This window comes from Homo sapiens, chromosome 1 (assembly GCF_000001405.40).
Source record: "Homo sapiens chromosome 1, GRCh38.p14 Primary Assembly".
Taxonomy (NCBI): Eukaryota; Metazoa; Chordata; class Mammalia; order Primates; family Hominidae; genus Homo; species Homo sapiens.
In genome coordinates, this window is record NC_000001.11 from 50,046,699 (window position 1) to 50,063,694 (window position 16,996).

The following is a 16,996-nucleotide window of genomic DNA, read 5'->3' on the forward strand; positions in this document are numbered from 1 at the left end:
ATAAATTTATAAAAGTGGAACTACTGGATCAATGGATTTGAATTAGCAGAATTTTGAGTTGGTATATCCCCAACTGCTCAGCAGCAAAATTCCTTTGTATTATATAACCAAAGAAGATTGTAGGAAAAAAGCTTTTATAGCCATCAGTGATTGTTCAATTTTAAGGCTGCACTAAGAAACTTGAATTGCATGAGATGGTCCATGGAAAGTACATAGCGCTTGGCATAGTGTCAATAACATAGCTATTATTATAATGAAACCATCATCAAATTTGTTCCATTTGTCATCCCAAATCTTTTTACTACCTAGGATTCCTCTTTAGTTTATTTGGGCCTATTTGAAGTTCTGAATCTTGCCCAAGTCTTAAAAACAGGGAAAACTTGAGAATGCTGACAATTGTGAGGTAAAGCAATAGGCTAGGGGTCGGGAGAACTTTTATAATTTTTCCTCCTGATTCTTTTGTAATCTGGGGCAGGTCTTCCCTGGACCTCAGAGCCTTCACCTATAAAGAGACACTGGATAAGATGACCTCTTTAATATTTCCATTCTAACTCTTGATACTAAGCTTACCTTAGCCCAATAATTTTTACTGATACCTGTATTTCCTGTATTTTGAATCAAGGTAGATTTTCTTTAGGCAATAGTGGCCATTCTCAACAATTCAACTGTTAGTTTCTGAGCCCTAGGAGTAGAATTTTATGAAGGTCAAGGAGGGCCAAACAAGCCACTTTCCCATTTTTAATGATCATCCCATTACCTACCACTGAACTAATGTTGTGTTATTCAAACATCTAGCGTGGTTTAAAAGGCCACAGAGTAATGGAAGGGCCAGTAACTATTTTTACGTGAAATCATAGCTCACAAAGGACTTCGGCATTTTGTTTGGGTCAATTGTTTCCATTTCTCACTTTACTTTGGACATATCTTAGACACCAAACAGCCAAACATGACTTGAAGGATCTACTTAAGGTGTCTACATTCCCTGCCAAAGACAAGCCACCTTCTCCATGCTCCTCTCCCCAAAGGGTAAGATTTATTCTAAGGGTTCTGAATTCGTCACATTTATAAACCCCGTGGGTCCGGCACAGCAATTAACATTGGTCCAAACGGTGTCAGTGAACTTTAGCTGCAAAGAAACTACCTCATTTAAAATTTAAGCAGACCACAGGGAGTAGCATTGGAGGAAAGAGAGGAGATTTTCTCCTTCAACATTTTGAGCATACTGGAATGCCAACCCCCTAGGTAGGTGCCAGGGCCACCACAGGAACCTGACTCGCAGGAGTCGTCCTCCGTCTCTACGCGAAGCGCCCCCTCGAGGTGGGCAGGGGGTGGCGGCGGCGACGGTGGCGGAGCCGCAGAGCGAGCTAGAGAGCGAGAGCGGTGAGACTCTGCGGACGTCTTCCCGCCCGCCGCGCTCCGCCCCACCCAGCCTCCGCAGCCTCGGGCCGGATCGCCCGGCGGGGAAGATGCGCCTCAAGAACCAGGTAGAAGCGCCTCGGCGCAGGCCCCGCACCCCCGACTCTGCCCGCCCTCTGTTACGGACACCCGCTGGGCCACGTGGTCGCGACTGGCTTCTCCCAGCGGCCAGCCTGGCCACCCCGACTCCCAGGGAGGGGGAGAGGGCCCTTGCAAGAGGATCCTGCCCCCGCGCTGCCCAGACCTGAGGGCTCCTGGCGACCCCACCCGCAGCCCATCTGGCGGCTCTGGCCCCGCAGGTCAGGGTCACACCCCTGCCGGCCTCCTGAGACTTCCCGGCCCCAGGGGAGAGAGCTGAAACTTGGGTTGACGCGCGCCCCCTCCCCAGCGACAGGCGACCCCGCAGCAGCCCCGCGCCACTCCTCTCTGCGCCTTTCCGTAGTTGTCCTCGAGGTGGCTTTGTTGAACGTCCTGGTGGCGCCAAAAAGTCCAGGCAGCTTCGGGCGATCAGGGTCCCGAGGCGCTGGGCGCGCGGACTTGGATCCTCAGGGGGCCCCTCTGTGTGACTTTCGCTAATTGTCTCACAGGGAGGGCAGCACCCTCCCCTATCTTTCCTCTATTACACCCCGCTGTGGACCTGGGACTTGGGTATTTCTAGACGAGATTGGGAAGGCGCGTGTGTTACACTAAGCAGTGCTCATGTTTAGCTGAGGAAGAAGGAGCCTCAAGTGTTCGTAGGGTGTACCTGTGTATGTTGTAATTGTTGTCTCTCTTTGGGCTGGGGGCTGTTATACATGTAGGATTTAGTAAACACAGGTCTTGAAGTCTTGAACCTGCAGGAGACTCATTTGTTTCTACAAGGAGAGAACCTCCCCTCCCCCAACATATGTTAAGGGACTTGAGGAGACCACAGGGAAACCGAAGGGAGGGACTTCTAGAAAACAATTCCAGGTTTGGGGGAAAATGAGTCATATTGATTCCCAAGCTGTTAGCCAATACCACTCAAGGGTAATAATTTTCATAAAATCTTCCCACTGGGGACTTAAATACAGGGCTCCACAACACAGTTTGTTGAGAGCTCTCTGGTGCCTTTAAGCCTATCCATGCCCCTTACCTAAATGCTTTAATTTAGTAGAGCTCCTTGAGAAGCTGCCTCACATTATCCTCCTGCATTTGTGCGCCTAGCTTTTAATATTTTATAATACTTGCAAATTGACACTGAACAAGCTTTAACCTCCATCATTTCAGAATAAGTTTGATGTTTTAAGTGAGATGTGAATGGAACTCCATTCATGAGGGAAGTAGTCTGTGTGAAGTGTTTTGTAAATGTGAGTGGGTTGAGTTTAAAACACTGAATAAAATTAACGTAACAAGGAATCAAAAGGTTCAATCCAGATGTTTGCCTCCTTGCTTCTTCAATAAAGTGACAGTACAATGCTGCATGACACCACTTGCTTCCTTAATAAAGTGACAGTACAATGCTGCGCGGCACCTCTCCTTTCAGTTTTTAGGTAGGGTAGACTGTGGCACTGTGGCTTATGGGGTCAACCATGAGCAAGTGGATGGCTGGATTCCTTCCATTCATTTTTTAAAGCACTAACAAAATCCTTGGGGCCGATGGGGTTGTGACCCACCCACCTATACAGAGGATTTTCCTCCTCTACTAACTACTCTAGAAATACATGAGGGATTTACATGCAGGTTTTTAGTTGAAGAACTAAAGTAATCCTCTTTAGTTATCATTAGTATTAGCCTCTGAAACCTTTACTTGCTTGCTAAGATAAGGTACTTGGGTGTGGGTTGTAATAGAGGTGGAGTTGTGAGTTAGAGCTGGTGGCCTTACTAATTCCTCTACTTACTGTGTGCTTTGGGTTGACAGAAAACTCCTTAGCATTTGTGTAAGTGCAATATAGTTTAGCATGAGAGATTTTAAATTAGATATTCTTGGTTCCGGTCTGACCTCACCACTCAGTAGTTATGTGACTTGCATAATTAATTTTTTGGTCCTTCCTGCCACTTTTTTCGCCATAGATACATGGGGTTAATACCAACCTCGTAAAGTTGACATGAGAATTAATATTATATATGTACAGTGCCTGCCATATGGGCATTCAGTAAATACTGCTATTATCAACCAAACATAAACAGTAGCTATTACCACCATTGCTACTACATCTGCTTAAAAATGGCTCCTTGTAGTTGGGGAGGGAGATTTGGCTACAAAGGGACAGGAGGGAGCTCACTGGGGTGACTGAAATATGCTTTATCTTGATTGGGGTGTTGGTTACAAAGGTATATCCATTTGTCAAAACTCATCAGAGTGAACCTTTATGATCTGTGCATTTGATTTTATGTGCATTATATATCAATAAAGTTCATGCTTAAAATTAACATCCAGATGTGTTAAGTACATGCCTTTGGGAGGCCTAATTCTGCATAATAGCATACCTTCTTCGTAAGTTTATCCTGAGCCACAGGAAAGTTAGAGAAGGTGCTTTAATTTTTCAGGTTGATGTCAGGAGTGATGGTCCATGGAAAAAAGTGATTGTCTTGTGCCAAGATTATATTTAATTTGGTACTAGTTTTCATTAGTAGCTTAAAAAAAATTGAAATGTTTTATTTGAGCAGTACTGCTCATTTGCATAATATGATAATGGATATTATAATATCCATCCATTATTCACAGTTGCTGAAAAATCATAGTGATTTTGCATCCCTTTTCCTGCTTTCAATAAATTCTATGCATTGTTTTAGCTAAGTGAAATATGTAAAGTGTGTTTAGCACAGTACCAGGCACATGGTAAATACTGATACATGCTAGCTGTTAGTTTTTAAGTTGATATATTCAAATTCATCTTTTTTATAGGGCAGAATCAACACTATATAGATTATAATATCAATCTATCGTAAATATGCTGTTAAAAGTTTTTGAGGTAGAAACAAGCCAAAAATTATTAATAAAATGTTGTAAAACTGAAATCTCACTTATCTAAACTTAGTAGTCATGAACTTTTTACAACATTATGTCTTGGGAATATAGGCAAATCTGTGAGGGAAGCAAAAACTTTTCTCAAAAGCAAACATATATCCACAAAGAGTATGCTAACTCATTTACTTAGAGGCAAGCTCCTCTCATATTCCCTCAAGCCTTTTTATTTTTACTTCAGACATAGTTCTAACATGTTTAGTTCCTTAGTTTCTCAGCCTATAGTAGTTTAGAAGCCTTGCTAGATACAAGTTTCAAGAAATATTAGCTGAATGTAAGGGGCGAATGAATTATAAAGATAAGACATGAGAAATCAGTCTTATTCTTGGGCCAAAGTAAAACTTGAATTAGAGTACTGAATAGTATTGCTGATTTATTGGACATTTTAATTTTTATTCTTTAAAAAAGTTAAATTGTATATTCTCTCTAAAAAGTGGGGCAGTATATAATGATGTATTTTAGAAACATTTCCATCTGATAGGATTAGATTACAAACTTAGGCTTGTTAAGGGCAAGCTTCAGTTATCTGGATATCTTACTTAATGTGGAATGACTTATTCACTCATGGTACTGCATAAATGAGGCATCTATCAACTTGTGATTTTTTTATTGGGAACTGGATTTTTAAAATCTATTTCATCTTTTGATAGAACAATATGATGAGATGAATCATACATAGAGTATTAGTTTGCTAGGGCTGCCATGACAAATATCACAGACTGGGAGGCTTAAACAACAAAAATTTATTTTCTCACAGTTCTGGAGGCTAGAAGTTCAAGATGAAGGTGTTAGCAAGGTTGTTATTCTGAGATCTGTCTCCTTGGCTTGTAAAATGGCTGTCTTGTCTATCTCTTCATATGTTCTTTGCTCTGTTTACGGCCTAATCTCTTCTTTAAGAATACCAGTCCTGTTGGATTAGGGCCCACTCACATGACCTCCTTTTACCTTAATTACTTTTTTAAAGGCCCTATATGAAAATACAGTCACATCCTGAGATACTGGGGGTTAGCACTTCAACATATGAATTTGAAGGGACTTAATTTAGCCAGTAACACATGGTTTTAGTAAAAAGCTGTATTGATTCTTTCAAAATAATTCAGCATGCAGAATATGAAACAGGTGAGATTTTAATTCTTGTTTTAGAACAGTTCAATTTGGATTTACATGTGAGAAACCCCAAAATACTCATCATGTACCAACACACACACATACAGATACACCTACACATACACACCCCACACTTTTTGTGTGTAAAGCTGATTATAACTGAAGCTGAGTTAGGGTCATTGTCCAAGCTGAGTTTAATCTGTGATAAGGTCCACTAGCAATGTCTTTCATTGATCAAAAAAGACAGCTGTGCAGTAGCTTCCTAATCTTTCTAGTTTTATAGTATCTTAGGTGATGGAAGCAGAAGGTTTGACTTTCTCAGAAGAAACCATTTACCACTTTGATACTTTCATACCCCCTTGTCATTTGAGCTCTTTGACCCTCTGGTATCTCTGAAACAAAATAATTATACTAATCCCTTGATGCATCTTTTCCACATATTCAAACCATGAATTTATGGACCAAAATTTGCCACACAAGCACCTTTGTTCACTCAAATCAGAGTCTGGCAATAGTTTACTCAGAGGAACCTAAACTGCCTACTACACAGTTTATTCTCCTCACTAGTTTGAAGTTCATCTCTGTTCCACATGTTCATGCATCAGAGTATGATATTTTATCCAAAGAAAAGAAAAAACTGCTAAACTTATGTTGTGCAAAAATGACTCCCAAAAACCCTATGTGTGTTACTGTTACTACCAGTTTGTGCTAATTTGCACAGCCTCTGAACAACTGGCAAAGTGGCTAGTGTTGACATTGCAACTGCTACGGAGTTCCCAGTTGCTGTAGGAATTTTTAAATTTTATTAGTATAATAACAGAGTTTACAGTTATTCACAGTATGTTAATTGCAAACGCTTATTATCTATAGTACCAGCTTGATACTTGATCTTATGTTTCTTTTAATAGAAATACTGCAGCTTTTACTTTTCATTGTAATGAAGGTTAATCATCACTATGAATTTTCACCTATGAGCAACAATTTTGCAACAAGTTATAGTTGGGGTGAGTCTATTATATTTAAAATATAACACCAAAATAGCTTCTTTTTGTACTTTTAATACTTCCATTGACAAACAATTGCTCATGTCTCTGAGCCTCCTACAACCATTTCAGATGACTGATGGATGATTGGTTTTTGTTTTTTATGTTTTGTGTTTTTGAGACGGTCTTGCTCTGTCACCCAAACTGGAGTGTAGTGGCATGGTCACAGTTCACTGTAGCCTTGACCTTCTGGGCTCAAGCAATCCTTCAACCTCAGCCTCCTGAGTAGCTGGAACTACAGGTTCACGCCACCAAGCCTAGCTAATTTTTGCATTTTTTTGTAGAGACAGGGTCTCTCTATGTTGCCCAGGCTATTCTCAAACTCCTGGCCTCAAGTGATCCTCCCACCTCAGCCTCTCAAAGTGCTGGGATTATAGGCAAGATTGATTGATAGATTCAGTGAATGTTTATTGAGTGTCTGGTATGGACCTGGCCCAGTTGTAGCTGTTTAGGATGTATCAGTGAACAAAACTCAGCTATCCCTGTCAGCAAAGGAACAAGAGAAAGTAGACATTAAAAATAACCATAATCAAGAAGTGCGTCATAGAGCACGTTAGACAGTTATAAATGCTATGTGGGAAAAAAAATAGAGTAAGATAAAGAGGGATAAGGATTCCAGTGGAGGATTGCAGTCTTGAATACAGTAGGCCTCACTGGTAAGTGATATTTGAACAAAACTTGATGAAGATGAAGAAGTTTTAGTTGTGTGGCTATCTGGGGGTTATAAGCAGAGGGAACAGCCAGGGCAAAGGCCATATGGCAGGAGTATACCTAGAGGGGTTCAAGTTACAGCAAGGAGGTCAGTGTGGCTTGAGAGGAGTGAGCAAGGAGGAAAACTATTGTAAATTGAGTTATAAGTTTTATATACTGAGTAAATGTTGACGTAAATATTGTCTACCAGTAAGTAGATGCTTAGCATAGTGATTCTCTCCAAATGCTTGTTGAATGTTTCTTTGGCAAATGAATTTGTGCTTATAAGAACTGGTTCTGAAGTGCAATAGAAAATGGACTTCTGCTAATTCTGCTGCTGGCAGAAGTTAGATTAGGATCTGGAAAAGGGAGGAAGGCAGGAAAACAACCTGGTAGATGCTGATGTGTAGGTGTCTGAGTCCTGCCCAACCATTGTCACTCCCATCTTGCCAGGGGAATTAATTTTTCACTTATTTAATACTGAAAATTCCCTTTTCTGTTTGATTTTTGTCCTCATGATTGGAACTTTTAACCAGAAAGAATAAATTCCAGTGTAAAGAATATACTAGATTTAAAAGTGTGAGATCTGTCAACCTTAGAAGACTCATACCATAGATTGGTATTATTCTTTTTTGTTTATTTCTTATAGGATAGACCTTATAATTATTATATTTGTGTATTTTGTTTACAGTTTACAAAGTATTTTTACATATATTAATATTATTAATTTGATCCTCACAGCAAATCTATGTGAGAGGTGGACAGCCATTATTAAGTTTTGGGCTGAGTATCTTTCATTTGCCCTTGAGATGTTACTCTCTACCCTTTTCCCAATCCTTTCTGTGGCCTTAGGGCTGACCTTCATAGCTTCATCAACAAGCTCCCTTGCACTCTTGCTTCTGGAAGGATTCAGCCAATACGGAGCACTTACAGGATATCTCAGACAGAAGAAAAGTGAGTTTGGAATATTTACTTCTCCAGCTCCCTCCCTTCCAGGTTACTGGCTAGCAGTGGCTAGCAGTGGCTGCGTGGAGGCCACATCACCTATCCAATCTACAGCTACAGCTTTCTCTCTCTCTATGGGTTCTCTCAAGATCTAGGGCTGGGTCTCCACTGTTTCTATCTTCAATGACTTATCTTCATTAAATCCTGCGCAATTTCCCTTTTTGAATATGCCTTCTGTTTCCTGTTGAGACCCTGACCAAGACACCACTTTAAAAACGACAGTCTTGGAGAAGTTGGATGACTTGCCCAATAATAGATATCCAGTAAATGACAAGAATAGGGACTTAAATCCTGGTTTTGTGACTTCAAAGCATGATCAATTTGTTTTGTTTTTTTTTTGTTTTGTTTTTGTTTTTGTTTTTGTTTTTGTTTGAGACAGAGTCTCGCTCTTTCTCCCAGGCTGGAGTGCAGTGCCGCGATCTTGGCTCACTGCGAGCTCCGCCTCCTGGGCTTACACCATGCTCCTTCCTCAGCCTCCCGAGTAGCTGGGACTACAGGCGCCCGCCACCACACCCAGCTAATTTTTTGTATTTTTAGTAGAGACGGGGTTTCACCGTGTTAGCCAGGATGGTCTTGATCTCCTGACCTCGTGATCCACCCGCCTCGGCCTCCCAAAGTGCTGGGATTACAGGCGTGAGCCACCATGCCCAACAATCAATTTTAAATATACCACAAAGGAACTTATCCCAACTGGTGGATAGTGTTGAAAAAATCTTTCTACTTTGACCTTCAAAATTCTATATAGGCCAGGCACGGTGCCTCACGCCTGTAATCCCAGCACTTTGGGACGATCAACAAGTTATTTATTGAGCAAATGACTTAGTATGAGGCTCCTTCAACGAAAACCTTTACAGGAAAAGTTTTGAAGTTGTGCTGACTTGAGTTAAAATTTCAGAGAGGTAGGGTGGAGATGGGAGTAAGGAGAAAATAAAAAGCAAAAGTTCTGAGTAGTCATCAACTGCAGACTGCCTAAATAGGAAGTCTACGCCAGGAAGTCATGTTTTTGCTGCTGGAGGTTTGAGTAGGACTCTGTATAACTTTGCTCTCTTATGCAACTTGTGATTGATCTGGGTTAGTTGGCTCTGCTGCTATTATAAAAGGGATTTCCTTTTCTTTCCCTGGAGATTGGGTGCCCATCTTTTTCCCTACATTTCTGATAGTAAAGGTCTTTTTATTCTCACAGCATGAGTTTCTGGACAAAGGGTCATCTGGGAAGCAAAAGTTGAGGATCTTACTCAGGTCACTGGAACTAGTGTTCTAGAAGTGCCTGGTGCATGATGGTAATAATATAAGTCACACCCCAAGTTTGTATTACTAATAAGAGTTTTGTACTACAAACTTTCCCTGTCTGTTCTTGTTGAGGGGGAAATGGCACTGAGTGTAATACTGTATGGTCATGCACCACATAAGTACGTTTAGGTCAACAACGAAGTTCATTTATGATGGAGGTCCCCTAAGATTATAATGGAGCTGAAAAACTCCCATTGCTTAGTGACATCATAGCCATTGTAACATCGTAGCATAATACATTACTCATATGTTTGTGGTAATAGTGGTGTAAACAAATCTACTGTGCTGCCAATCATATAAAAGTATAGCACATACAATTATGTACAGTATATAACACTTGATAATGTTAATACATTACTAGGTAACTGGTTTATGCATTTACTATACTATATTTTTATCATTATTTAAGAATGTACACCGGCCGGGTGAGGTGGCTCACGCCTGTAATCCCAGCACATTGGGAGGCCAAGTCAGGCGGATCACGAGGTCAGATCGAGACCATCCTGGCTAACACGGTGAAACTCCATCTCTACTAAATATACAAAAATTAGCTGGACATGGTGGCGGGCGCCTCTAGTCCCAGCTACTCAGGAGGCTGAGGCAGGAGAATGGCGTGAACCCGGGAGGCAGAGCTTGCAGTAAGCCAAGATCGTGCCACTGCACTCCAGCCTGGGTGACAGAGCAAGACTGTATCAAAAAAAAAAAAAAAGCACACCTACTTATTTTAAAAAATAGTTTATTGTAAAACAGCCTCAGGCAGGTCCTTCAGGAGTTATTTCAAAATAAGGCATTGTTATCACGGGAGGTGACAGGTCCATGTTTGTTATTGCCCTTGAAGACCTTCTAGTGGAACAAGATGTGGAGGTGCAAGACAGTGATATTGGTGATTCTGACCCTGTATGGGCCTAGGCTACTGTGTGCATTCTTATCTTCATTTTTAACTGCAAAGGTTTTAAAAGTAAAAAAAAAAATAATAGAAAAAAGCTTATAGAAAAGGATATAAAGAAAGAAAATATTTGTGTACAGCTGTACATGTGTTTGTGTTTTCAGCTAAGTGTTATTATAAGAGTCTAAAAGTTTAAAAATTTATAAAGTAAAAAAGTTACAGAAGCTAAAGTTAATTTATTATTAAAAGAAAAAACATTTTTATAAATTCAGTGTAGCCTAATTGTACAATGCTTATAAAGTCTACAGTAGTGTACAGTAATGTCCTAGGCCTTCGTATTCACTCAGCACTCATTCATTGACTCACTCAGAGTAATTTCCAGCCCTGCAAGCTCCATTTATGGCAACTGCCTATAAACATGTACTGTTTTTAATCTTTTATTCTCTATTTTACTGTACTTTTTCTATGTTTAGATACACAAATACAAGCATTGTGTTACAGAGGCCTACAGTATTAACTAGTCACATGCTGTCCAAGTTTGTAGCGTGTGAACAGTAGGCTATCCCATATAACCTAGGTGTGCGGTAGTCTATACCACCTAGGCTTTGTGTAAGTGCATTCTGTGATGTTTGCATGATGACAAAATTGCCTGACGTATTTCTCAGAACGTATCCCCATTGTTAAGCAACACGTGACTGTACTATAATATGATGTCAAGTTACCATGTTGTTTGGGACATATGACAAGAACAGAGCTCAAGAAACTTTTGTATACATGGGACAATCTTGTGAGTTGAAATAATATTTCTCTCACCTTCAAGGGTGTGATTTATTCTTTTTGGGTATAAATTATGCAAGCAAAGCTAGAGTATTCTTACAATAAAATAATTTTAAAAGACAGCACCGAAACATTTTTCCAAATTAAAGGAAGCTTGAGTTATTTTTTTCTGATTTTTGAAATGGAAGAACCAGTCCACGGGGGGAAGTGATCAGAGTAAACTAAAATTTAGTGCTATGTCCCTCTAATCACAAAGTGGTGTCATATAGGGGTCACAGTGGACCATGATCTGCTTTTATAGATAAATGATGTTCTGTGGGAGACGTTCTCCAATTCATAAGCTAGAGAACAGATTTAAATTTACAAAACCAAATTGGGATAACCAGTACTGTAAACACTGTCATTATAACCATGGAGCACTAGATTGATGTGAGATGGATTGACATTCAGCAGGGGTAAGGACAGGATAGGATATATAGGAGGAAACCAAACCACAAAAAAATTAAATGGGAAATTTTGAAAGGGGCAGCATTCTTACCTTATGTTTCTATAGCACCCTTTCACTTTTCTTTTACACTTATCCACATGGAAAGGTTGTTATAAAGGGAGCATGAAAATTGAAGATTAAAAAGTAAAAATGACTTCACTTGACTAGCCTAAAGAAAAAAAAAAAGTAAAAATGGACCTCCGCATTAATGGTAAGAATTCTAAGATAATTCCTTTTTTTTTTTTCCTGACAGTGTCTTACTCTGTCACCCAGGCTAGAGTACAGTGGCACGATCAGGACTTACTGCAGCCTCCACCCCCCAGGCTCAGGTAATCCTTCCACCTCAGCCTCCTTAGTAGCTAGGACTATAGGCATGCACCACCATGCTTGTATTTTTTTTTAGAGATGAGGTTTCCCCATGTTGCCCAGGCTGGTCTCAAACTCCTGGGCTCAAGCAATCCATCCCCCTGAGCTTCCCAAAGTGCTGGGATTACAGGCATGAGTTACCGCACCTGGCCCAGGATAATTCTTTTATTATAAGTGTTCTTGTTCCTTTATTCACTATTCTGGTTAATGGCACCACCATTTACCCAGTGGCCCTAGGCAGAAAAATATTGAATCTAGAAATTATCCTAGATTCATTTTTCTTCCTTACTGCCTGCATTAAATTTTTCAGTCTCTGGGTCCAGGTGGTCAAACTGATACCTTTAATTAGCCAACATTTATTGAGTGCCTAGTAGAGTGGTATAAATAAAAATTGCCACCCTTGTAGAGCTTGCATTTTCTTAAATATCAATCATATTTCTCTGATTCTAAGATAAGATTTCTGAGATGGAATGCATTTTACAATAAAGTTTAAAAAATACTACACTAAAACTTAGCAAGTTGTGATGCAGTTGTCATTGCCTATACATGCACGGACTTAGTGGAGCTCACAGAAAGTACCTGTTAAACTGTCACTTCAGTTCATTTATTTGCATTTGGAAGCCTCATATAAAATGAAATTTTAACTGAAATTTGGATCCCTGATTGTTATTTAAAATGTTAAGAAATAGCCAGCAAACACATAAAAAGATGTTCAGCGTCATTAAAACCATAATGAGATACCACTTTACACCTACTAGCATGGCTATGATTTAAAAAAAAAGTATTGGTGAGGAGGTTTTTTAAAAAAAAAAACCGTTGGAGAAAATGGAACCCTCCTGTTTTGCTTTCAGTCCTTGGCATATATACCCAAAGGAATAGAAAACAAGTATTCAAGTACAAGTACACACATGTTCATAGAGGCATTATTCATAAATGGCCAAAAGGTAGAAACAGCCCAGATGTCCATGAATGGATGAATGCATAAACAAATTGTTTTATATAATGCAGTGGAATATTATTCAGCCATGAAAAGAAATGAATTCTGATATATGCTACAACATGGATGAACCTCCAAAACATAAGTGAAAGAAGCCAGACACAAAAGGTCACATATTATATTATTTCATTTATGAGATATCCAGAATAGATAAATCTATAGTGTCAAGGCAAATTGGTGGTTGCCAGGGGTTAGGGAGCAGGGGTGAATGGGGAAAAACTGCTTAATGAATAAGGGGGAATAATGGAAGTGTTTTGGAACTTGATAGAGGTCATGATTGCACAAAAATGTGAACCTACTAAATGCCACTGATTGTTCACTTTAAAATGGTTAGTTTTGTTTTATAAATTTTATCTCAATAAAGTATTTTTCAAATATTCCACTGTGCTACAGAATTGAAATGAAGTTATTGTATGCCCTAAAGTTTACCTGTCATATACTGTTCATTACAAGTAAAAACAGAATAGTCAAATCTCTTTATACAAAACCTAGAATTTCAGAGTTCAGAGAGATTGTTATGACCTTTTCAAGTGTCATCAAGGAATGTCATTTAGGCACCTGCCGTCTGTTTATCAAAAGCTCGACTTCCAACAGAAGCTGTATGACTTTTCATGATACATAATTGGGTATAACAGGAGTGTCCACATTCCTTTTCCCCTCAGCAGCTCAAACTACATCAATATGCCACAATCAGGAATCATAAGTGATGTCATGCTTTGCAGCTAAGTCATAGAGAACTGGTGGCAGAGTCACAACTTGGCTCAGGATCAAGATCCAGAGCAGTGACTAAGGACTTCATGAAGCAGAATCTCCTGCTCTTACTATGGAGGAGGGCCTGGGTCGGCCTCTAGCTGAGAAGGTGCTACACTGGGTCCTCTGTTCTAACTACTGCACTGCCACCAGTATGATCCTACTTGTAGGAATACTTTCCCACTGTCACCTGCCAAGTCTCAAACAAGTCTCAGAACTCAGTGAGACTCATAGGCACAGTGAGCCTATGTCTCCACACTTTACAGGCCCAGAACCTGATTTCCCCACACCACTCCATCTCTTCTTTGTCCATTGTGGCTGGACAAAGTTGTCTGCCTACTTCCTCTGGCCAGGTACCCTGAGTGCCTTGTAGCACTCAAGCATGATTTACATCCCTCATTCAAGATAATTTTTCTTCTATTTCCCTTGTTGGAGAGGAAAAAGAAATAGACATGTGTTTAATATCCAGCACAGAGTATCTCTATACATTTAAAAAATCAAAGCTTTGAATAACCAAATGCAGAACAAACCTCAATATTCCGTGATACCTCTTGAGATTGTAATATCAATCCTAAAGTATCAAAGAGGTCAAGTTCACCAGCATGGATTTTGAAAAGTAAGGTCCTTATGATGCTCTGCGCTTAACTGTCAGTGAACAAAAGTGATGGAGAAGATATTTACATAATAGCTTTGGTTTGTTCATAAAATTATATGCCAATTTAGTTTTCAAGGTTTGACTCTTTGCTGGGCTTGAATAGTGGCTATTTTCTTTGGTATTGTTTTTAACCTGAATCCCTTAAGGCAAGGCATGTACTCTCCAGTTAGGCTATAGAGACCATGGGCCTCCTTTCCTCTTTTTTAGGTCCATTTACACATTTATGTTTCCTACCTATCCCCTGTAGTCATTTGAGTTTATAATTACTAACATAGACTCAAGTTTTAAAATTACATGTAGTTGTATAGATAACTCACAGTAAGACCAAATCCTTAAATAATGCATACTAAATTCTGGGCACTGTTTAACATGTTTAATCCATAGTAACTAATGGAAACCTCACAACCCCATCAGGTAGTGTGGCCCTCATGGAGGTGCACCATTCAGATCTGCCTTTAAGAGGAAGCTTATGTTTGTTTGCAAGGAGTGCAGTTAGATGACAGTCTCCAGTTGCAGTGCCTGTAGGCCATGCTTTTGCTGGGCGGTCCTAGCCAATGACTGAACACTCTGGGAGTACTAAGGCCTGGCCATTTCTGCCCAGTGTGGGAACTCCCCTAATGGGTAATCTTTATTTCAGAGCTCTCCATTAGGTTGGCAGGCCTTTGTCTGATTTGCCTCATAGTCTGAGACTCTGTCTCCAATTCTACTTTCTTCACCCTCCTCGCCCCAAAATTTTCACAGCAAACTAATAAATCTCTTGCACTTCTGTCTGTCTCATTGTCTGTTTCTGGGTAGACCCAACTAATACGGATAAGTATTATTATTATCCTCCTGTCACAGATGAAGAAACTGAGGCACAGAGAAATGGCTCAAGGTGTCACAGCCAAGTGAGTTTCAGTGTTCTTCATCATGTTTTTAACCATTATGGTATGTTGCCTTCCCTTTCTGAAGTTCATGTTCATCCAGTTAAGTATCCTTTGTATCCCAGAAACTTGGCTGGATGCTAGAAGTATATAGATGAATAACATAGCCTTTGATCTCAAGGAGTCCACAATCTTGTGGAGAAAACAAGGAGAATAAGCAGATAGCATCGGTCTTTGCTCTAAATGCAATGATGAGATATGTGCAGGGTGCCCTGAGAGCCCAGAGGAGGGACCTAATTTGTGTCATTTCTCACTTCTTCTACCTCTGAATGGACTACTCTTCCTCCTCTTGTTCCTGTAGCCATGCCATCATATTTATCTGGGATGCCTGTTATGTCTTTGGACCACCCCAAATTGAGTTGGGCATGACTATTCTGTATTCTTACAGGAACCCTCTGCACTTACCATACCACACCCACCTTAATTGATATTTCCCAGCCTGTGTCCTGCTTGTCTGTGTGCTCAGTGCTACTTCATGCCTGCCTTGGGCCCTGGCCCCTTGAGGAGCTTAGGAAGTGTTTGTTGAATCAATGAATGAGGAGAATCATTTGTTTGCTTGGCCTGTAAGATGTGAATAGAAAAGAGATTTGAAATAGAATACACAGGAGGGAAAAGGTGGGGGCAGATGAATTCTACCATTCTCTTGAGAGTATCTCACCTTATTTCTCACTGTCATCAGCAGGTGTGGATTTGGGATGTTTCCATTCCCCTTTAAATTTTTGGTTCAAACATGGACACATGCTTTCTATCTTGCTTCCCGATGATACAAATATGTTAAGCTGAGTTTTTATCCATTAATCCATCCATCCATTCACCCATCCATACTTGTTTGTTAAGTCTACCAACCCATATTTATCTAGTACTCTCATGTGTCAGGCCCAGTGCCAGGTTCTGTTCACACAGTGGTGAACAAAAAGCACAGTCTCTGTCCTCAAGAAGGTTTCATTCTGGTAGGATAATTGGATTCTAAACAAATGTAACCTGAATGTCCTCTAGACCCCTCCAGTTGGATCCTAGGAGAGGTCACTTTAAATATTTCCAGTGGATATATAGTCTTCCACCTACAAAATGGCACACTGTCAGCCTTGCTCCTTTCTTGTATCTCTCTGGACATCCTCGAGGCCATTTTTTCCATATGAAATAATGCATATTATTAATAGATTCTTGGTAATTGAGTAAACGCTTCATACATGGTGAATATTATTTTTATTATTAATGATATTTATATAATGTGTTCTGCTACTTACAGTTTTGCCTTTCTTTTCTTCCGATGACTCTTCTCACCATATTTCCTGGTCATTGTCTACTGTTGTTTTGTTTGTTGCTTTAAAGCTGCCTGTACCTTTCTCCTATGCTACTGCCACTGTAGGAAACACGTACATGTTATATTACCTGATGGTTTTTTAGCTTCCTCTATGGCCACTGTCTCCAGATCTCTGTTCCTATATCAGCATTTGCACTCATCTATTTTGATAAGCTTATCTCTCTGGCTAACCACCCTCTTTCTGTAAGACCTCTTCGAGCGTTTCCACCATCACTTGGGGACTTTTGCCATTTTTCCTGCTTCCAGATCTCAGGTGCTCCTCTCTTCCCAGTTCTTGGTGAAGCATTTTCTTCT

At 40.1% G+C, this 16,996-nt stretch overlaps 1 protein-coding gene and 1 long non-coding RNA gene across 5 annotated transcripts in view; one reads left to right on the forward strand and one right to left on the reverse strand.

Moving 5' to 3' along the window:
* Positions 1-1,356: 1,356 nt before the first annotated feature.
* Positions 1,357-16,996, forward strand: part of ELAVL4 (ELAV like RNA binding protein 4) — a 155,718-nt gene continuing 140,078 nt past the window's right edge. For all 3 annotated transcript variants that reach the window (NM_001324208.2, NM_001144777.3, NM_001438739.1), the window contains exon 1: positions 1,357-1,484. In NM_001324208.2, the coding sequence (NP_001311137.1) occupies positions 1,467-1,484 (18 nt within the window). In that variant the 5' untranslated portion in view covers positions 1,357-1,466. The remainder of the gene's footprint in view (positions 1,485-16,996) is intronic.
* On the reverse strand, positions 14,194-16,961 carry LOC105378709 (uncharacterized). Of its 2 annotated transcripts, XR_947313.4 has the most exons (4): positions 16,893-16,961; positions 16,626-16,741; positions 15,798-15,939; positions 14,194-14,445 (listed from the first exon to the last, which is right to left on the reverse strand). It is a non-coding gene; the product is annotated as an uncharacterized LOC105378709 (long non-coding RNA). The 2 variants fall into 2 exon arrangements; XR_947312.4 differs by lacking the exons at positions 16,626-16,741; positions 16,893-16,961 and adding an exon at positions 16,037-16,143.